Raw genomic sequence first — 22,176 nt, forward strand, 5'->3', positions numbered from 1 at the left:
CCACAAGTGACAAGGCTATGTTGAAAAGATCCCACTCTCCTCTGAAGATTCTGTATCTGGAGTGTTCTCCAGTATCCCAGGCCCAGGCAGAGCTTCCCAGGAGGCTTTGCGGGCCCAGGATCGCCGCTGGGAGGCCCGTTTCAGGGGCCACACTGCAGGGGACCGGGGGACACTCACCTTTACAGACGAAGCACTTGATGTGGAAGTACTTGTCCTGCACCCGCAGCACCTCGCCCTTGCACACATTCCCACACGTGTTGCACAGGATCGCCGTGCTGGGCGACTTCTCCAGCGGGCTGGGAGCAGCCTGGGGCTGCGACACTGTTGGGAAAGAGAGAAGAGCAGCGTTCAAGGGTGGATGTGTGAGGCACAAAGGTGAGCAAAGCAGGCGTGTGAGGACGCACAGCTGACCCTGCCAGCGGGCCCCGCACCCACCAGCACGAGCCGCACGGGGCATCGGGGTCGGTCTGTTGTCTCCTTTTGCCTGGGGACCCACAGGAGTCAGATTATGCAGGGGTTAGGGGCCAGAGGGAGAAGGTCATCTGGTCAAGCCCCAGTGTGGGCTCCTGTCTACAGTAGCCCCATGCAGGGAGGGGCCCGTGCTTCTCATCCACATGCACAACTGCGGCAATGAGGCCATCACCTCCCCACCTGGAAGATGGCCCAACCACTGCTGCCTTAACCTGGCACGACCTTACCCTCAGGGGTCTCAGGGACAAGGCACCCCTCTGTGAGCTCAGTAACCCTCAGCAGCAGGGACCAACATCCTCTCTTCTGCCAGTACAGCAGCCACGGTCCTCAGGGGAGCTCACTTCAAATTTCCTCTGGGTCCTGGGACATGGAGCTGAATATTGCTGCGGTCCCCTTAAATCTCCCTTAAAGCCACCACAGTACAGGACATTTAAGGAGTGGATGGATGGACAGGTCAGGATGGATGGTCACAGGGCCTGACTGTGGGGCTCCCGGGGACCGGGCAGGGGGACACACTCCTCATCCCCATCTTCCCAAAGCATCTGCAGAGACCAGCGCCCAGGACAGAGGGCCACGGCCCAGAAGCCTCAGGTCTGCCCTTTGAGGGGCTCCCAGTGGGCATTAGGGATGGCCAGGTGAGCAACAGTGACCACCAGGTGGCCGAGCTGGCATCGCTTTGAAGCTTGAGGAGGAGTTGGTAGATGGAGGTGCAGGATCTGGATGTGGAGCTCTGGCAGGCACAGAGCCAGCCACACAGGACCCGGGCAGGACCCAGCTGCCCGGACAAGTGGAGGCAAGTGCTGGCCTGTGAGAGTGAATCAGCGTGGGGACTGAAGGCTCAGACCCCAGGGCAGGCACAGGCGGTGGGCAGGAGGTTCTGTAGCTAGTGCTGCAGTCGGCAGAACAATGCTCCCAAGATGTCCCCTTTCTAATCCCCGGAACCTGTGCATATGCTTTCTGACATGGCCAGAGGGGCTTGCAGTTGTGACTAAGTTAAGGGCTTCGATGGGATATGATGTGATCGTCTAGCTGAGCCCAACATCATCACGGGGGCCTTAAAATCAGATCATTATGCGGCTGTGGCCAGAGGGAGGCGTGACTGTGGAAGAAGGTCAGGGAGATGACACATTGCTGGCTTTGAAGGCAGAGGAAGGGGCCACAAGCCAAGGAATGTGGGAGCCTTGGGAACTAGAAAAGGCAAGGAAAGGATTCTCCTCCAGAGTCCTCAGAAGAAACCAGCCCTTCTCACACCTTGATTTTAGCCCAGCAAGACCTGGTGGGCACCGTGACCTCTGGAACTGGAAGCTAATAAACTTGTGTTGTATTCAGTTTGTGGTCACTTGTTACAGAAGCCAGGGAAGGTAATGCAGTGGTCAACCTGTCAGATAGGTGGGGGACGCAGGGGCAGAGGCACCAAGCCCCTCCCCTCTGCATTCTGCCAGCCACTCCTTGTTTGGGAGTGAGAGCCACCAACAGCAAGGACCACCGCAGTGCGGCAGCCCAGGGCGGGCTTTCACTCGGCTAGGGCTGCGCCCCATGCCTTCTGCTCATGCCAAGTTCACCCCGAATGATCTCATTGACAGACTGAACACACAGACAATGGCCGGGCCCAGAGAAAGGCAGAGCTCAGACAACACCTGCAGCTGCCGGCCCAGGAGTCAAGTCCGGCCACGGTACCCAGCCGGGAAGCCAGCTGCATGGCAGACTCGCGGGGAGGCGACTACTCTCCCTCGACAACCAGGAGGTTAAACAATAACTCGGTCCCACATGGCCAGGACTTGACTCACAACTGATAGCCGTCCTAATTCGTGCCCCCGCTTTCCAGTTAGGATCATTTGGAGAAAGCCAAATACATCCCTAACCAATCACACGGGACGCCCCCCTTCTGGGAGCCGCCTCCAGTCCCCCGAGGCCGACAGCCTCCATGGGGGCTCACCAGGAGCCATCCTTTCCCCTCAGAGGCTTCCCAACCACTTGCCTGCCTGTGTGGGCAACTCCCTTGCCACAGCGGCTCTGAGAAAGTTGCCTCCACTTGTCCTCACGTCTTCCTTTATTTCCACAGCAGTCTAACGCCAGCTCCCCCTGTCTTGGTCTGGGTTCCCATGAAGCCGGCCTTGAGACCAGGCTGTGGGTGCGATGGTCTATTTCGGGGACCCCAGGCACCAGGCCAGAGCGAGGAGTGGGAAAGATGAAAGCTGGTGGCAGGTGTGTTGTTGAGCTGCTCCCCATGTGGGAGAGGGAACTCACTGGGGCCGTCCAGGAAACCCCGCGTAGCATGTCCCAGCTCATCCCGTGGAAGGAAGGGAGGCCGCGGCACTGGCCCCCCACCGCCTGTCCCCTGAGTGCAAGAGCTGCTCCAAGGCGGAACTCCCAGCCCCCTCTTCTGGTCTGCCTGGCGTATAGGCTGAGTGAGTTTCTGAGGCACAGAGCCAGGGGTGCTGCAGATGCCAGGGCTGGGCAGCCTGCAGGTGATGGGGCATGGCCCACCTGGTTGCAGTCGAAACCACAGGTGGGCCGAGGGATGTGGCACAGGCCCAGAAAACACCTGCCCCCCTTCATTTGAGGGCTAAGCGTATTCACGCACAGACGTACTCACTCACATCTATTTACCCAATTGCTAAATGCCAGCGCTGATTGAGCTCTGAGCCTGGAAGGTCTCCTCATCTCCCTGGTAAAAATCGAGTGACTGCATCTCAGACAGAGGAGGCCATTTCCCCATCCAGTTCCAACCTGCCCCTAAGCGTTCCCAGAACCCCACATCCCGGAAGCCACCGATCTGGCCACCCATCCTCGCCTAGGGTCCCTGCCCACGGATGGAACTGTGACAGGACAGCGCAAAGGAGGAACCTGGGTCATGCTGGGGCCGCAGGTCTTTCCAGGCCAGGGGTTCCAAACAGACCAAGGGCGGTGGGTATCAGCTGTCTGGGGATGAGGGAGAGGGGTTGGCCTGGGAAGCAGGCATGGGAAAGGAGATGAATGGCATGAAAAATAACTCAGCATCACCCTGGGCCTGCCTCCGGTTTTGCAAACTGGACGGGGCACAGCCCAGTGAGGGTCCCTGTGGGCTCAGTCTGCAGCCGCTGGAGGCCACCGTGGCCTTTCTCACTCTGGTTGAATCCACAGCAGGCTTGTCCCACGCGCCTTTTGCCTGCGGAGTCATTGTAGAAACCACCTCATCCGTTATTTAATAAAGATGGTGGGGAGGGTACAGCAGGTGAAGGCTTTCTGGGCTGGAATCGAAGCCTCCCAGTGCAGAACGAGGATTAGAATTGTGGACTGAACTTCAAATGGTGCCTCTCTCGGCCACGCATGGCCCAGGCCATGGGGGCCCCTGTAGGCTGCCACACGGGTGATGCACCCAGTCCACATCTGAGGCTCAGTCAGAGCTCACAGGGGTGGGGGCCGTGCATCTTCAAGACGCTTATGTTCTCATCTATTGGCAACAAAGAGAAAAATGCACAAGCGTCTCTTCATGATCCGACAAGGGAGAGGTTCACGCTGCTGGAATCTGGCCCAAATCCAGCCTGAGGGAAGTGTCAGCTTCAGATTCCCGGGGGACAGCGCGGGTGGTGGGGTCAGCTGGCCTGGGATGCAGGCTTAGCTGGCCTTCTGCATGCTGTGACCTCAGGTGAGGCCCTGAAACTCCTGGTCTTCTGTCTGTGTGTCTGTCTGTCTCTCCACCCAGGCATCCATCTTCTTCTTGTGTTACCTGGCCCCAAGGATGCCAGGACCATGAGCAATAATGTTCCCATAGCAACCAACCCAGCAAACAACAAGTGCTCAATACACAATTGTCATGGTTATTTTCAAGAACACTGGCCTGACATCACTGTTTCCAGGTGACTGGAAATATACTTGGTCGGGGGTGGCGGGGGTGGGGTGTGGGGGTGAGGGTTGAGGGAAGCTGCTAAGAGCATGGATTTGCTTGGAGGCCCCAATCTCGCCTGCTGGGGCCGCCTCCGAGGCGTCCGGGGGCTGCAGGGTCATGGCGGAGGCGCTGCCCTCTCGCGATGGGAGATAGACATTGCGCCGTGGGGACGCCGCTGCCTCCATGCAGGTGCCGCTCCTACAGGCTTCCCTCCAGCTGGCCCTTCCTGCCAGGCCCTGGGAACACAGGTAGGTAAGTGGGTATGCGCTTGCCTCCCAAGAGGGTTCATTCCTCACCTGGCTGCAGCTGCCAAATTGTGAGGACGGCTAGGGGGGCAACAGCCAAACCATGCAAAAGCAGGGGCCAAGTGGCATTCTCTGTTCCCCTAAACCTGGCCCAAAGTCAGCCACGTGTTTTACATTAAAAAGAGAAGTTTCAAGTGGTCCTTCAGCAGGTGAATGGATAAACGAGCTGGGGTGTATCCAGACGATGAAATATTATTCACCAACAAAAAGAAGCATGCCATCACACCATGAGAAGGCATGGAGGGACCCTCAATGAATACTGCTAGCTGGAAGAAGCCTGGAAAGGCTATGCCCTGCAGGATTCCAATTATGTGACATGCTGGAAAAGGCAAAATGAAGGAGACAGTAAGAGGATTGATGGTTGCCAGGGCTGGGATCAACGGAGCACAGGGCGTTTTTAGCAGTGACGCTGCTCTGGGCAATACTGTAATGGTGGATCCACGACACTGTACATTTGTCCAAACCCATAGAACCTATAACACTAAGAGTGGCCCCCACTGTAAAGTATGAACTTCGCTTAAGAATACATCAACGTTGGTACAGTTACAACAAATGCACCTCACCAGTGCAAGGTGTTAATCATAGGGAAGACGGGATGGGAGCACATCGGAACTCTCTGTGTCTTATCTAGAAACCAAGAGATGCTCTGAGAAATAAAATCTATCAAAAAATTTAAAAATTCTAGGCCAGGCGCTATGGCTCACGCCTGTAATCCCAGCACTTTGGGAAGCTGAGGTGGGTGGGTTACTGAGGTCAGGAGTTTGAGATCAGCATGGCCAACATGGCAAAACCCTGTTTCTACTAAAAATACAAAAATTAGCCGGGTGTGGTGGTACACACCTGTAATCCCAGCTACTCGAGAGGCTGAGGCAGGAGAATCACTTGAAACCCGGGAGGCAGAGGTCGCAGTGAGCCAAGATTGTGCCACAGCACTCCAGCCTGGGTGACAGAATAAGACTCTGTCTCAAAAAAAAAAAAAAAAAAAATTTAAAAAGGAACTAACCACAATTGCGGCAGGTTCATTTCACTGCAGTTTCAAGATTGGCTCCAATAATTTGGCTTAACAAGTCTCTAACTGTGATAATAACATAGAACATAAACTCAAGTGCTAAGAATCTATCACACAGGGGCTGAGAGTATTTAATCCCTCATGATAATGAAACCCCAGCCTTGGGAAGCCCCACCGGGAATAACAAAAATGATTGCTGGTGTCGTTAACACACAACCTTCACAACAAAGGGACGTGGCTCTCTCAGGAAATCCCCCTGCCTCCCCCTCCAGGCTGAACTCCTGGTCTGCCACCAGCCAGCCAGAATGGGAGCCAGCAGGGTCCGGTTTGGACCCACCATCCAGGGGCAGCGGTGTGACCTTGGTGAATGGATTTAACTCTGCAAAGCCTCAGTTTTCACATCTGTAAATCAGGGCTTGATCTTAGGAGGATGTTTTAAATGTCCATTGAAGTAGAGAAAGCTCCACGTGCAAGGTCTGACAGGTGGCCGTGAACAGTAGCTGTTAGCTGAATCCTCTCCAAGGCTCAGAGACCAGACTTGCAGGCCGCAGGATGGAGGGGTCAGATCAGGGGTGGCTATCAGAAAGAGGAAAAACGATGACTCTGAGGTCTACTCGAGGTTTCCCAGTCCAGAGCGGGAGTCCACAAGCATTTTCAGGAAAAGGCAAGACAGTAAATACAGTGTAGGCCCCAGGGACACCACAGTGAACACAACAGCCACGGTCCCAGCCCTCGACATTCTCTTGTTTGTTCCATACCATGCCCCACAGGAATGGTCAGTCATCCTCATCTCACGGATGAGGATGCCAAGGCTAGGAGATGGTCACACGGCTAAGAGACTGAGGCCCAGCTCAGGTGTGTCCGAGGCTCCTCCTCCCACCCCTTCCATCACCTGCTGGGCTGCAAACCATGTGTTCACTTGTTCAACAGACACGGGAGCAGACGCACTGTCAGGTACTGGGGAGAGAGGTGTGCCATTCAGCACCACACCAGCGTGACAGGCACAGGAAGAGGGACATGCCAGGCCAAAAGGGCATAGGCAGGGGGGCAAACTCCTCTTTCTGTCCAGCGAACCAGCTCTCACGACCCAGACAGCAGAGTCCTCATCATTCCGTGATCTCTGGGAATCTTTTTTCTTCTCCTGAGGCAGGGTCTCGCTCTGTCAACCAGGCTGGAGTGCAGTGGCGCAGTCTCAGCTCACTGCAGCCTCAACCTCCCGGGATCAAGCCATCCTCCCACCTCAGCCTCCCGAGTAGCTGGGACCACAAGTGTGTGCCACCACACCCAGCTAATTTTTGTATTTTTTGTAGACACGGGATGTCGCTATCTTGCTCAGGCTGGTCTCACACTCCTGGGCTCAAGTGATCCTCCCATGTCAGCCTCCCAAAGTGCTGGGATTACAGGCATGAGCCACCGTGCCTGGCTGGGGATTTGCTTGACTGTTTATTTCCGATCTGTGCCCACGGATCTATATTTAGTTCCACCCTTCTCTAAGGGCCCAGTGAACTTTGGACCTCTGAGCATGTATTCCTGGTTTGGCCAAAGACCAGCAGCTGTGCTCGCCTTGTTCTCTTGCTTTCCTCATTTGCTCTGGAGGTAAATCCACCTTGAGAATGGGCAGGGGACCCCCTTGTGTACTCACACAGGGGAAAACTTGGGGTCCACCCATGGCAGGGGTTCTCATCGGAGGCCCGCTCCATCCGCCAAGATGATTTCAGAAAGCTCCCCGTCTGCTGTTTGTATCATCCAAACGGCTGGCTTGGGGTTTCCAAATGTCCTAAGGATGTTCTAATAATATTCAGTTTTCTAAGCCTACACACGCACACATGAACTCCAGAGGTCCCGGCTCACCCAGAGCGGGTCACAGGACACACAGTTCCAGCTTCCCTTTCACACCTTTCCTTCTGACCATGGCAACGAGCAGAGCAATACAGAGAGGGGCACAGGGCTGTGTGCAGGCACAGCAGGGAGATGAACCTGTGTACAATCAGGGAGGGCTTCTGGGAGGAGGTGACATAAACTAGAAGCTCAGAGGATGGACAGGCACCTTCTGGGACAGGAGCAAGCACACATCACAGTGCTCAGCTCACCTTCATTGCGGCACAGCCCTGACACATGGGTGGCTGCTGTCCACTGGCCTGCCTGCCTCCCCTGGCCTGGAAGCCCTCATGGGCGGGGGCTGTGCCCGAGGGATTTGTCTCCCTAGGGCCAGGTGCTGAGGAGACCAGAGCTGATGCTGGCCCTGTGCTGATGTGTGCTCAGCCAGTCCTTGCCGGGAGACAGGCATGGCTCTCACACACCATGGGGCCACACACACCCTGTGCCAGCTCTGCCCTGGGGCACAGGGCTTTCTTTGGGCTAATTTTATGAATATGGAATTAAAGCGTACAGGCACGCACACTTTGCATCCTCATGGATCCTGCCACACTGTCTTTTCGGGGACTTACAAACCCCCGCCCGTGCCTTACAGTGTGTCCCCTCCCTCAGGTTCTCACTTTATAGGTCATGCCTCGGTTTAAGAGCAGGTCCAGGCCTCCCTACTGCCCCGCCCAAGTGTTACTTGTTAGAAAATCATGCCGGATCACAGGCGGGCACTTCCTTCCTAACCTACTTAAGGGCTGGCTGCTGATTATAACCATGAACCGAGGACGCTGCTCTCTGGAGCCGGCCCCATTCTCACCACGGCCATCACTGCCTGGGCTTGGCAAGGGAGCTCTGCAGGTCCAGACAGGGCGGCCCTCTGTTCAATCCCCCATTAAGCAAAGATGCACTGGGCACTCTCTCCTTGCCAAGAGCTAGGCCAGCACCGGGCCGATGTTGGGCAGCCACCGCCCCGTCCCCAAACAGTCACCAGACAGTTCTGGGCACAAGAGCACACAGGAAGCTCATGGTGCCAGTGCTGTGGGACCCCAGGCCCAGGGACACTCCTCCCGGGGCCCACCCAGCTTTATTTCAGTGGTGACATGAGACACCTGCGGGGCGCCCTGGAACGCCCACCAGGAGACGACCTGGCCCTCTTCCAGTTCCCCAGGAGTGCAGTCTGGCTTCTCCCATCTGAGTCCTTGACCTGCCCATGGCCAGACCACGGGTCCCTGAGGACCGCAAACAGCTTGGCTCTGCTTTGGGGTCCTGAGGATGGACGCAGGGCTTGTGTGCAGATGTGTGCAGATGAAACTGATTATGGGAAAATACCTCAGGCTCCTGACCTCCACATGCCCCTCTCAGCATCACTGTCACCCCAAACTACGACCTCCTGGGATGTCATCCACCCTGGCCCTCAGTGCCCTGCTCAGGGCTGGCCCGGACATCAGCAGCCAAACTCCTCTTTCTGTCCAGCGAACCAGCTCATGAGGGGAATCACTTGAGCCCATGAGCCACTCCTCCTTTCGCGCCTGCCTGCTGCACAGAACACATCCTTTGACATCCATCTCCTCTGTAGGGCCAGTGGGCTCCATGCCTGCTGGGCTCACCTGGAGGCCCAGCCCCCTGCCAGTGCCTGAACCCTAAGATGTGCTTGGGGAACAGGATGAACCTATGCATCTCACTCTGACCCGCAACCACCTTCCCCTCAGCATGTGACAGTAGCATCCAGCCATCTCAGCACCTCCCATGGTGTCCTTCTGGAAGCCTCTGAGCTTATCCCTCTGAGCTCCCCACGGGCTGTCTGAGCAAAGCCCTGTGGCATGCTGCATCTTCAAAGGTGACGATCACAACAACCGTTCTTACATGCTCTCCTACAACACTATGTCGACCCTTCTCCTATTACCTGATGGGGTCTAAAGCCCCTCACCTTGAACCTGGGTGGACCTCTGCAACTGCTTTGACCAAAAGGATATGACAGAAAAGACACCAGGCAGCTTCCAAGCTGGGTCATCAAGTACCCCCAGCTTCTGCCTTGCTTTCTTAGGATGCTCATTCTGGGAACCCGGCGGCCATGCTGGGACGAAGCTCAAACCACTCCACGCTGTGACCACGCATGGAGCCCACATGCCGCTATTCTGGCAGAAGGACCACAGAAGTCCCCACGGATGGCCAGCAAGAAGTTTCAGCAAAGACGCCTGTGGAGGATTCTGGCTCCCAGCTCTTGAGTCACTCTCAGCCTTTGGGTCGGCCCAGTGAAACCACAGACATTGTGGAGAGGAGACAAGGCATACCCACTGTGCCCTTTCTGAATGGCAGCCCCTCCCAACCCGTGAATGTAACAGGATGTTTGTCTTATGCCACTGAGGCTTGGGGTGGTTTGTTAGGCAGCCATTGAAAACCAGAATGCCACCACAGTGATGGCCCCAGACATCAAAAGACCTCTTTGCAAAGCTTTTGCTCACATCGTTTCTATGCAGCTCTCTCTGTGCATGCCCCCCAAGGGCAGGAACCCCATCCCACCCTGCTGAGAAGCTCCCCCTCCAAACCCAAGGCTGGCCACCTCCTCCTCACTCTCCGATCCCACTTCTGCTATCGCACACATGGGCTTACACAAGATGCCCAGGAACGGGTTCTCTAAATCCGTGGGTTTCCACTTGGGGACCCTGGGGATTTTGCAAGGGGTCTGTAAATGCATTTGCACACCATGATTGTCTGCAGACAAATGGCTCCATCTATGTTGCACATCCGGGGACTATGGTTTCCAGTTGCAGGTAGATGCTCAAGGGATTTTTAAAAAATGAAGGCTGCTAGAAAGTGTTACAAAATCCTCAGTTGCCTTTGTTACTGAATAGTTCTTAAGCAAAATAAGGATTGGATATAGCACGAGGATGTGAGTTCATTGAGAAAGGGGTCTTCACTCTCTGGAAGGTTAGGTGGCTCATAACACAGATCACAGCAGCTTCCCTGCTCTGGAGAAACAGCTCCAAAAAAAATACTAGGTCCCAAACTGTTCCTGATCTAATTTCTGGAACTTGCCCACCAAGCAAAAAGTTAGGTTTGATGAGGATAGCAGTTTATAGTTTACAAATAAGCCTTATGCATTTTATCTCTGCTCATACAAAAACTCCCTGGTATAGACAGTAGGAGAGGGGACTCAGTGGCGACGCCTGGTCTCCTCACCATCTCTGCACAGCCTGGCTCCAGACCTCTCTAGAGACAGTAAAGTCACTTTCTCCACAGCCAAAGTCCCAAGAGGAGGCACTTGCCGTTTTGATCCAAGAAGGGAAATGCCCTTCAAATCCTGGCGTGACCTTGCCTGGAATCTTCACAGCCACTCTTGGAGGTAGATATTCTTTTGCCCATTTGGCAGAGTTGGAAGCTTATTGAGGTTTAGTGACCAGCCCAAAGCCACACCGTGAGGAGTGGCAGAGCAAGGATTCAAGCCCAAGTCTGCCTTTCTTCAGCTACCCATTTCCAAAGAAAGCTGCGACTAACCGATTTGCAGCCCACTGCCCCTGCCCACTGCAAGTCACACCTACAGACTCCACCCACCACAGACTCCACCCACAGCAGATTCTCCTGCTTCAGGCTCCACTCACCAGACTCCACCCACTGCAGACTCCACCTACCACAGGCTCCACGCACTAAGACTCCACCCACTGCAGACTCCACCCGCTGCAGACTCCACCCACCACAGGCTCTACTAAGACTCCACCCACCAGAGGCTCCACCCCCAGCAGACTCCACCCACTGCAGTGCCACCACTGCAGCCTTCCTTCCTCTCAGCCTTGCCTGGGATCCACCCACTTTTCCTCTGGCCCCAAAGACTGCTTCTTCTCCCATACCCTGTGATCATCATTCTCCTAGGCTCGACCGAGAAGACCTAACCGTACTGGGATGACTTTATTATCTCCTGGGCATGTTTCCAGAAGCCAGCTCCGCTTACTCTAAATTCAAGCAGGGTGTCCTGGCCAATTCCCATGTGGGCCTCTCTCCTATCCCCCCACGCAGCGTCCTGTTGGCCCAGCTGCTCACTGTGGGAAGAGATGATGGGTTGTCCCCACCCCAGTGATCAACTGTAAAGCTCAGGACAGTTCAAGGGAATCAAGCCCCACATTCTCTGGGCTTCATGCAGGACATCACAGCCAAACACAGCCCCAGGAAGAGGAGCCCTGGTGATTTTCAGAGGCCTGTGTTATGATCCAGGCCAGCCCTGCTAGCTCCAGGCCACATTCTCCCAGGAAAGTCACCACCTCTGGAGCCTCTCCCTGCCATCTGCGCAGGAAGGCTGCGGCTGTACTGAGCTTTTGGTGGTGTGGTGAGACTCAGAGGCCGAGGCTGGACCCTGAGCCCAGCACACAGCATGAGCTCAACACACGCCAGGGCTTAGGGATCCTTGCACACTGACTGCCATCTGGGGAGACGCCAGAGGACAGTTCCAGAAGAGCACTCCACACTCATGTCTAGAGGCCCTTGAGAGCTCAGGCAGGAGCTGGCCCCATGAGACTCGTCCTCCAATCCCACAGGGTTGTAGGGAGGCCTCTGTCTTGCTGGAAAACTTGGGGTAGGTCCCTTTTCCCTCCAGCCCAGTTTCTAATCTGAGTCGGCCTCACTGCGAGGGGGCCGTCAGCATGATGGAGTCTCCAAGACAAGCTCTCCAAGTTGGCAAGGTGGCAAGATCTGGGAGGGTGGCCTCCAGCACAAGCTGCACCCCTCTGCTTAGGTCCCTCCCCCATTCAAGAACCTTCCATGGCTCCCCACAGAACACAGCCCAGCCCCTAAACCAGCACTCTAAGCCTGGTACCCACCTGGTTGCCTGACTTCCTCACTGCCCTCTGATCCCACACTCTTTCCCAAAGTTGTCCTCGATAGTCCTGGCACCAGCCTGGGCTCCCACCATTCCTGCTCCGGGGAGCACTGTGTGCCCATCTCACCTGGGAAGACCCTACTTGTCCTTCCAGGCCCACGTCAAATGCCCCCTCTGTACCGACAGCGTATTCACAGACAATGATTCACTCTTGTGCTGAGCTCTGCACTGGAGGCTTCAGGACCTAAGCGCCCTTCTTTGCACCCTAACTTTAAGAAAATTGTCCTTATTTTACAGACGCAAAAGCTCACCAGGTGAGGGGATCTGTCTGTTGTCCACCTGGGCCCACTGATGGGGTGACCTTGAGCAAGTCAGGGCACCTCTCTGAAACAGGACAAGCCTCTGGCTTTGTCTACAGTCCCATGGTGCCAGGGATCCTCTAGAGACCTGTGCTGGGCCTGGGGAACAAGTGGCCCAGCAAGCCTCAGGCTGTCCCAGGACACTTTTGTCCTGGCACGATCACTGGTCTCAAACGTGTCTCAGGGTGGGGTGTGGGGCTGAAGAGAGCCCCAATCTCACTTCTGAGGTGAGGTGAGTTGGGGATGCTGGGTATGGAAGGATCTAGAAGCCCAAAGGAGGCTGGAGAGGGCGTGTAGTCTTGTGGCACAGGTCTCGGGCTTCCTTCTTTTTTTTTTTTTTTTTTTTTGAGACAGAGTCTCGCTCTGTTGCCCAGGCTGGAGTGCAGTGGCATGATCTTGGCTCAGTGCAACCTCCGCTTCATGGGTTCAAGTGATTTGCCTCCCTTAGCCTCCTGAGTAGCTGGGATTATAGGTGCGTGCCACCACACCGGGATAATTTTTGTATTTCTAGTAGAGATGGGGTTTCACCATGTTGGTCAGGCTGGTCTTGAACGCCTGACCTCATGATCCGCCCACCTGGGTCTCCCAAAGTGCTGGGATTATAGGCGTGAGCCACCGTGCCCAGACTGGGCTTCCTTCTTACTAAACAATCTTAAAATCACCAAAGAAAATGATTCCATTTTCTTGATACTTTGCACAGTGCTGCAAATAACAGTGACACTGTCTTTTAAAAAACAAACAAACAATCAAACAAACAATTTCCTCTTGGGCCCTGGCTCGAGGGCTTGGTTGCTTGGACCCTTTGTGAAGTTGGGGCTTTTGCGAGGCTGAAACTCCACTAGCCCTGAGTGAGCCTAAGGGGTCAGGGGAGGGGTTCCCAGCCCAGTGGGAAGAGCAGACCCTTCGCCTCCGCTCAGATCTGGGGTGCGTGCTCAAGTCCTGCGGGTGGAGGTGTCCTACAGCTCCTTCCGGCATGAAATCCCTGTGATTTCCCTATTTTGAGGCAGGGGTCCATGAGGACAAAGTCACTCTTGGCCACAAATAGGCTCTGTTCACAGAGCGACAGGCACAGACGTCGGGCGGCAGGGTCCCTGGCGGCCCCCAGAGCCTGAGAGGAGCCTCTCCTCTGGGAGGCAGGAAGAGAAAAACAGCCCAGCGGCCACGCTGCCCCTTCCTCCCAGAAGAGGACGTGGCAGGAAGCAAGAGCGGTGCCAGCGGGGAGCTCGAGCCATCTCTGTGGGCTGAACCGGGACCCCCAGATGCCCACGTTGAAGTCCTAACCCCCGGACCTCGGCAAGTGACTGTGTTCGGAGACGGGGCCTTCAAAGGTGTCGTTATGGTAAAGCAAGGTGATCTGGAGGGTGGGTCCTCATCCAGTCTGACTGGTGTCAGAAAAAGGGGAAATGTGGACACAGAGACAACCCCAGACAATCCCCCGTCTGTGTGTTTTGTCGTGGCAGCATGGGAAACCAGAGGGAACCCAACATGAAGACGCGGGAGAAGATGGCGACTTAGATGCCAGGAGAGGGGCCCTGGGACGGGTCCTTCCTTGCAGCCTCAGAAGGAGCCAGCCCTGCCCGCACCTTGATCTGGGACTTCTGGCCTCCAGAACTGTGGGAGGATGCACATCTGCCAGTCCAGCCCCCATCTGTGTGCTCTGTCGTGGGAGCATGGGAAACCAGCAGGAGCACTTCTCAGCTTACAGTGCAGGTCCGTCCTGATGAACCCGGGGCAAGCTCGTGACATCACTAAGTTGAGACTTCACTGACTTCACCTAACCTAGCGACCATCACAGCTCAGCCCAGCCTACCGGAAACATGCTCAGAACACCTACGCCAGCCTACAGCTGGGCACACACATCTAACGCAAAGCCTGTTTTATAATACAATGTTGACCGTCTCACGTAAGAGTACTGTACCGCAGATTGCTAGCTCAGAGAAAGATCGAAATTCAAAATTCAAAGTATGGTTTCTACTGAATGCATATTGTTTTTGCAACATTATAAAATCAAAAAACGATAGTCCAATCATGGTAAGTGGGGGCCTGTCCACACGCCATCCCTGCAGGTGGGAAGAGCCAGAGCTGGCCTCAGAGCCCAGCTGGGGACTGGCTGGCTCCCTGGTCACTTCCCCGAGCCTGTTTTCCATCTGCAAAGTGGGACACTGATCCTACCCAAGGCTGGGCTTTTGGAGAACGGTGATGTGACGGTGACCACACGGGGCTGGCAGGAGTTTGTGTGAGTGTCAGGTGGGGGCTTCCTTCCAGGGGCAGAGCTGGGAGAGACGGTACTGGGCAGCCACCCCCGCTCAGGCTGGCTGTGGGCTCCGGGCAGACGCCAGCCCAGCTCCTGCTGCTTCCAGGACTCTCCAGGCCTCCAGTCGCTGGCCCAGGCGCCCCCGGCACCCACATTCCTGGAGGGTGTTATTCCATCACCAGAAGAGTGCAGCCGTTCCAGAGCGAGGAGCATCTGAGGAGCTCATGGGAGGTGTCCCGGAGGGTCAGGGCTCAGAGCATGTACACTGACTCCCCTGCCACCCCCCACACAGAGGCAGACAGGGCGGCCCAGCCCAGGTCACGCAGCAAGTCTGTGGCCAGGCCAACACCAAGGCTCGGGTCTGCAGGCTCCCAGCCCAGGGCTTGTCCCCCAGGGTCTCATTGCCTTGAGCCAGAGTGGCCACGCTGGTCCAACAGGTGACCTCCTCTAGGCCTTCAGCGTACAGCAGATGCCCAGTGAATATTTCTCAAATCTAATAGGAAACAGGAAATGCGCTGAGTGACTGCAGGGCACTGTCCAGTGGATGGGGGGGTGATGATGAATAACCCATGTCACATCATCTTTCAGTTCCTGTGTCCAGGCAAACACCAGGGACTGCACTCAGCACCTCCACCCACAACCCAGGTCACAGAGCTGCAAATGGCAAAACCACACAGTTGGGCACCGGACCCAGACCTGCCCAGACCTCAAGCCAGCTCTCAACTCCCTCTCTGGGAGGAGCTGAGGGGCTGAGCTAGTCCCACCAGGGACCCCACTCTCTCTCCAGGCAGCTGCTGTGGTACATGTCCCCAGTGCAGGGACCTGGCAGGCTAGGGGACCTGACAATATGCCCCCAAGCATATACTGGCCACACCTCAGCTGCAACCCACTCCTCCCCAGGCCTTTGAAGATGGGGCCACAGCCTTGACCTGGAGACACCACACCAGCCTGGATGGGGAGTCTCGCTGCCCCCTGTGCATCTCCATCATATCCGAATGGCCTGGTAAGGATGGCCACAGAGAGCTGGAGAGGTCCCCCACTTTGTCCTCGGCTCCCATCCTCCATTTCCCAGGGGACACCCTCTGTCCTGGTCCATGTGGGCTGCCAGAACAATACCAGATGTGGTGGCTTAAAAGACTGACACTTATCTCCCACAGTTCTGGAGCCTAAGAGTCTGATATTAGGGCAGCAGCATGCTCGGTCCCTGGTGAGGGCTCCCTTCCTGGCTTGCAGACAGCCGCCTTCTTACTGTGTCCTCACAAGGCAGAGAGCGCGCTCTGGGCAGGAGTCCCATCATGAGGACCCCACCCTCACGACCTCATCTAAACCCCATCACCTCCCCAAGGCCCCTCCTCCAAATAGCGTCACCCTGGGGGTTTGGGCTTCCAAGTGTGAATGCTAGGGGAACATGAACATTCACTTCTTAACACCATCCACTGTCAGACCCTACATGGTACTTGCCACTTTAGTCCACTTGCCACTTTAGTTCTTTTCATCCTGCACAGCTGGGACCTGTCCTCTCTTCACCATTTACGGATGGGCAAACAGAGGTTCCAAGCAGGAATGCACCTCCCCAGGCCACTGGGACCCAGGCCTCTCTGACCCTGGCCTTTTCCACCATGCCCCACCGCGTGGATGAGGGGATGGGAGAGGGAGAGGGGTGAGGGGCGAACCAGCCCTAGGGGTGGCAAATCTGTCTGGGACCTGACCAGTGTGGGACGTCTTCCCGGAGGTCGTGCCTGCCTCCCCTGGCGTTCCCACTCTGCAAGCCTCCTTCCTATCTGCTGCTGCTCTTCCTGGCATGAAGCAGTCCCCTGTGCGTGGTTAATGCCCTCAAAGCCCAGCACTGTGTCCCAGCACTGCTGGAGGAAGACCTCTTTGCCCGGGTCTGGACTCCTTAATCCTAATTGCGGTCCTCAGAGCATTCTTCCCTGGCAGCTGGTGCCCCTTACTTGGGGTCTCTAATCCCTGCCTGGCCCTCCCCTGTGCAGGCATGGTGTGGGCACAACAGCACCAGCCCCATCTCCAACTGGCATGAGAGGCGTTGTCACCCTCAGGCTGCAGGCAAGGGAACCCCATCTCAGAGATGCTCAGTAACCTGTCTAGATCACACAGCCTTCAACTGGCAGGGTGGGGCCTGGAGCCTGGGCCTCTATGTCAGGGAACTGGTTTTCTGCCTGTCTGCCCTCCCGTCTCCCCCTCAAATTCCTGACCCTTCTCATGTTCTCCTGATCTGCTGATTCAAGGGAGGCTGGTGTGAGGGAAGCATTTCCGGCATGTCTAATTAAAACTGGTCGTCGGGATGGCTGGCCTGGAGCCCAGGGAAAGCCAGGCCAGGCAGGGGAAACTGGCTGCAGAGGCTCTGTGACATTCACTAACCACCTGCATGACAGAGGCAGCCAGCCCCTGCCTTAAAGCGGGTCTCCTGGGGGCGTCATCCTTGTACTGACAGGGTCCGGCTCACACACCAAAGCCTGTGGGTCTACACATGGGCAGGCAGGGGTGTGCCGGCATTGGGTCACACAGCCCAACTGGGGTGACAAGGTCCTGGCTCCACCCGGACAGGCCAAGAGGAGGGGCAGGAGGTGGCACGGGGTGGGAGCCCTGCCTGGGATCCTTGCTAACCTCTGGAGACACGGTTCCTTTGGGTTCAATGACAAAAATAACTTCATTTTGATGACCTAAGGAATGCTACTCATGGCTAGAAACCCAAACAGTACATCAAAGATGAAGGAAAATTTAAAATCCCCTGCTTCCCTTTTACTGAGACGACCACTCTTAACAGCTCAGCGGCTGCTCTACCATGTGCTTCTGTAGGCCACAAACAAAAACCACACACTCTCACACACCTGGGACATATGATATGACATCACAACCTAGAATAATTCATCTATCTTCTCATAAGGCAGCACCTCGATGTGCTTTCAGAAACAATATTCTCAGCACCTCCACAGAGCCTAGCCAGCTCTGCAGAAGTGCTCGGTGCACACATCTGAAAATCATAACTTCATTGAGATATAATTCACATAGCCGTACAATTTGCCTGTTTGGAATGCACACTCAATGGCTTTTGGTATTTCACAGAGCTGCGTGCTGATCACCATAATCCATTTTAGAAAATTTCCATCACCCCAAAAAGAAATGCTGCATCCTTTACTGTCACTCCCGTTTTCCCTCCGCAGCCCCTGGTAACAACTGGTCTGTCTCTGTGGATTTGCCTGCTCTGGGCATTTCATGCGAACGGAATCCCACACTGCGTGGTCCTTCGCGACTGGCTTCTTTCACTCGGCGTCATGTTTTCAGGGAGTGTCCGTGGTGTGGTGGGCGTCAGTGCCTCTTTCCTTTTGATGGCTGAGAAATATTCCGTTGTACAGACAGACCCTATTTGGCTCATCCATTAGTCAGTGGATGAACTTTGGGGCTGTGTCTACTTTTTGGTGATTGTGAATAACACGGCTATGAACATTCGAGTGTGAATATTCGTGTGGACATAGGTTTGCATGCTTTTTGGGTAGATACCCAGGAGTGGAGTTGCTGGGTCCTGTGGTCACTCTGTGTGCCACCTTTCAAGGAACAGTCAGACTATTTTCCACACCGGGTTCTGATTTCTACGCATCCCCACAGCCTGCTCTGGGTGTGCCTGCGATTTTGATCCAGCCATTCTAGCGGATCTGTAATCGCGTCTCACTGGGATTCTGATGTGCCGTTCCCTGTGGGCGAATGATGCTGGGCATGGTTCATGTGTAGATTCTCCCTCTGGGAGTCTTCTTTGTAAAAATGTCGATGCAGATGCTTTGCCCATTTTTCAGCTTGGTTGTCTTGATAGGATTGAGGGATGAGAGTTATTCGTATATTCGAGATACAAGTCCCGTGTCAGCTTGCTAATTTGCAAATATTTTCTCCTATTTTGTGAGTTGTGTTTTCACTTTCCTCACGATGTCTTTGGCATCACAGAGGTTTTTGATGAAATCCAGTCGTCTATATCTTGTTATGACGGCTTGGGCTTTGGTGTCTTTTCTAAGAAACCATCGCCTGATCCACCGTCATGAAGATGCGCTTCTGAGTGTTCTTCTAAGAGATTTACGGGTTTTTTGGTTTTACTGTAATTTTACATGAATAATTTTACACAAATAGAATTGCATCTATGTGACTGCTAGTTTTAATTGTGGATACCCTTGCTTCGCATGTGAATCGCGATCTGCAGTGCTGATGGCCGCAGGTTTGCCTGGGGCCTTGGTGCCAGACTGCTTCTGGGATGGCTCTGCCATCAGCGTTGACGGTCTGGTCCATCTACCACAGTCGATCTGCAGTGCTGATGGCCACAGGTTTGCATGGGGCCTCGGTGCCGGGGCTGCTTCTGGGATGGTCGTGGTTGGCTCTGCCATCAGTGTGACGGTCCGTCCAGCACAGTTGTCCACAGTTGGTGGAAGCACAGTGGGCCTGAGAAGGCATCGCAGACTCAGCTGAGCTGGAGAGGCCCGCCCAGCCTCTGCCATGGAAACTCCATCTGGGACACGGACATCGTCACCTGCTGTCTGCTCTGGGCATCCACGGCTGTCCTCAGAATGCTCCAGCACCCCAGCCATGCCAGCTCGTCCTCCTGGGCAGGAGGGCGAACTCACACTCGGCTGTGCGTGGGCAGCCTTGGGGGACCCGCCGCTTTTGGGAACACACCTGCATGTCTCCTTTTTTGGTTCACAACACCCTGGGAGGGGGAAGCCACACAGCCAACCCGCTTTTTCTGGGGGCCTCATGGGCAGGGCAGTGTCTCCTCCAAGCCCCACGGTGAGGTCAGGCAGAATCAGGGCTCGAAGCTTCATGGGTTGGACTCCAGGGCCACTGTCACTGCCTGAGCCAGGGCTGCTCCCTTCAGTAACATTCCACGGAGTTTCAGAGTGTGAGGCGCTGAGGGGGGGCTATGGACAAGAGTCCCAGTTCCTCTGTGCAGGGCAGAACCCACAGGCCAGAAGGAGGGCACCAGGGAGGGAAGACTCTGGTCTGGCTGCCCAGAGATGAGGCCCTGCTGGGCACCAGGCCTCGTGCCCACACAGAGTGGGGAACATTTCAGGGGGAGGAGGGAGCCGCTGGAGGCCCTGGCACTGTGTCAGGCCCCCTCCCCTGTGTACCCCCTGCTCTGCTTCCAGGGGTCTGGGCTGCCTCCCCACTGTTCTCCCTCCCCTCCCTTCCCTCTCCCCTCATCTCACTCCCCCTGCCTCCCTTTTCTCCTCTCTCCCTAGCCCCCCAGATTTTGCCATCACCTTCACCCCACAGGCCGCCTGGTCAACACGCAGGATTGGAGCTATTGGAATTGCTGGTTGTTCGTATCTAAGGAGCTTGATGGGCCCTGTCTTTTATGTTAATATCAGGGAACTGCGGCATTCATGCTGTCCCCCGAGCAGGACACCGGGCCAGGCAGGTGCTACTGCGTGGTGTCCTGTGCACCACAGGACGCTCAGCCGTGGCCTGACCCCTTCCTGCCAGATGCCAGAGGCACACCCTCCTGAGCTGTGACCATCAAAAATGTCTCCAGATGGCCGGGCGTGTGGCTCACACCTGTAATCCCAGCACTTTGAGAGGCTGAGATGGGAGAACTGCTTACACCCGGGAGTTCAAGACCCACCTGGGCAACAAAGTGAGACCCCGTCTCTACTAAAAAAATTAAAAATTAGCCAGGTCTGGTGGCGTGCACCTTAGTTTCAGCTACCCGGGAGGCTGAGCTGTGAGGATTACTTGAGCTCAGGAGGTTGAGGCTGCAGTAAGCCATGTTCATGCCACTGCACTCCAGCCTGGGTGACAGAGTGAGTCCCTGCCTCCAGAAAAAAAAAAAAAAAATGCCTGCAGACATTGCCACATGTCCCCCTGGGAGCACAGGAGCACAGCTGCCTGTGGGTGAGAATCACCACCTTAAAGGAAAAAAGAAAAGGGAGGGAGGGAGGCCCAGACGCTGTGGTCAGTGGGTGCTGGAGTCCAGACGCAGCTCCGATACCAGCACCGTGTGAGGTTGGATCAGACTCTTCCCGTCCCCAGCCTTAGCTGACCTGTACAATGGGGTCACCCTCCTCACCCCACAGTGCTGTCCATAGAGAGTGTCCCCGAAGCCTGCACCCACTGGCGCTCGTGGTGCCGGCGCTCATGACCTTCACGCAGGGCACAACTTGACTGGACCCGTCCTTTCCCACCAGACCCCTGAAGCTGATTCATGGAGCTCACAGCTCCCAGTCCCCTGAAGCTGACTCATGGAGCTCACGGCTCCCAGCCGGATGGTCTGGGCAAAAGCGCAGTTTGGGGATTTACCTGTGTCTCCCCCTGGCACCCCCATGGAGCGTGGCTGCTTGCAAAGGGCCAGCGGGTCGGCGGCTCTCCCTCTGCGTGGCTGGGCCTGGCACCCACGGAGGATCGGGCAGGAGTGGACCGGGGAAGAGCCTCTGTGGCCCACAGGGCTCCCACAAGGTCACGTGGCAGCTGCCACCCTCTGCCCGGGGAGGGGCAGAGCCAAGCCCTTCCCGGCACACTGAAATAGACTCCCGCCACACTATGCGCCAGAGACACACCTGTCTCCCAGGCATCCGGGAAAGGGGCTCTGAAAAGGCACTCGGGGTGGGGGAGGAGTGGTGGGGGTGGGGAGCATCTGCTGACCCTTCCTCCATGTGTAGGGGCAGCAATAGTGAGCTCACAACCCCCACAGCCCCGCGTGCTGGGAGTGACAGCCTGCACCAGGGTTCCCTGAAATGGGGGCTTCAAACAACAGATACGGATTCTCTCGCAGTTCTGGGGGCCAGAAGTCTGACATGAAGGTGCCAGCAGGACCCTGCTCTTCACAGGGGTATAGGGAGCTCAGGCTGCCTCTTCCCGCTGCTGGTGGCTCCAGGCGCCCTTTGGTATGTGGCTTCAGGGCTCCTGTTTCTGCCCCCACCTTCACAGGCCGTCTTCCCTGTGTGTCTCTGCGTGTCCTTTTTAGTCTCTTATGAGGACACCAGTCACTGCATTTGGGGTCCGCCCTCATCCACAATGACCTCATCTCCATCTTTACCATAATTACATACGGAAACACCCAAACAAGGTCACATTCAGAGCTTCCAGGTGGGTGGGGCCACAAGAAGACGTGTCTCTATCTAGCGAATCAGAGTCCAGCACCCCGTCATAGGATGCGTTGCACCTGCACACCCAGTACAGCTGCCTGCAGCTCGCAAGGCCCCTGCATACCGAAACATGGCTAGCACCACGCAGAACAGAGTTTTAG

General features: G+C 55.8%; 1 protein-coding gene across 50 annotated transcripts in view, besides 3 other annotated features; it reads right to left on the bottom strand.

Annotated features, from left to right (window-relative positions):
• Positions 1–22,176, bottom strand: part of ABLIM2 (actin binding LIM protein family member 2) — a 193,487-nt gene that overhangs the window by 140,990 nt on the left and 30,321 nt on the right. For 36 of the 50 annotated variants that reach the window (XM_005248030.5, XM_005248027.5, XM_005248029.5 and 33 more), the window contains exons 1-2: positions 21,231–21,344; positions 178–321 (exon numbers count right to left, since the gene is read on the bottom strand). In XM_005248030.5, the coding sequence (XP_005248087.1) occupies positions 178–321; positions 21,231–21,255 (169 nt within the window). In that variant the 5' untranslated portion in view covers positions 21,256–21,344. Of the gene's footprint in view, positions 1–177; positions 322–21,230; positions 21,345–22,176 lie in introns of those variants that run through there. The other 14 variants (NM_001130086.2, NM_032432.5, NM_001130085.2 and 11 more) reach the window with 1 other exon arrangement.
• Positions 2,410–3,145: an enhancer, noted in NCBI's record as "H3K27ac-H3K4me1 hESC enhancer chr4:8110453-8111188 (GRCh37/hg19 assembly coordinates)". NCBI's record gives its function as "activates a minimal SCP1, AML or CMV promoter by ChIP-STARR-seq in naive H9 embryonic stem cells {active_cell/tissue: H9 hESC(naive)}" and the evidence as "EXISTENCE:reporter gene assay evidence [ECO:0000049][PMID:30033119]".
• Positions 4,326–4,620: a silencer, noted in NCBI's record as "tiled region #605; K562 Repressive non-DNase unmatched - State 13:Ctcf". NCBI's record gives its function as "represses a minimal TATA promoter and a strong SV40 promoter by Sharpr-MPRA in K562 cells {active_cell/tissue: K562}" and the evidence as "EXISTENCE:reporter gene assay evidence [ECO:0000049][PMID:27701403]".
• Positions 19,903–20,527: an enhancer, noted in NCBI's record as "H3K4me1 hESC enhancer chr4:8127946-8128570 (GRCh37/hg19 assembly coordinates)". NCBI's record gives its function as "activates a minimal SCP1, AML or CMV promoter by ChIP-STARR-seq in naive H9 embryonic stem cells {active_cell/tissue: H9 hESC(naive)}" and the evidence as "EXISTENCE:reporter gene assay evidence [ECO:0000049][PMID:30033119]".

Source organism: Homo sapiens, chromosome 4, assembly GCF_000001405.40.
Source record: "Homo sapiens chromosome 4, GRCh38.p14 Primary Assembly".
NCBI lineage: Eukaryota > Metazoa > Chordata > Mammalia > Primates > Hominidae > Homo > Homo sapiens.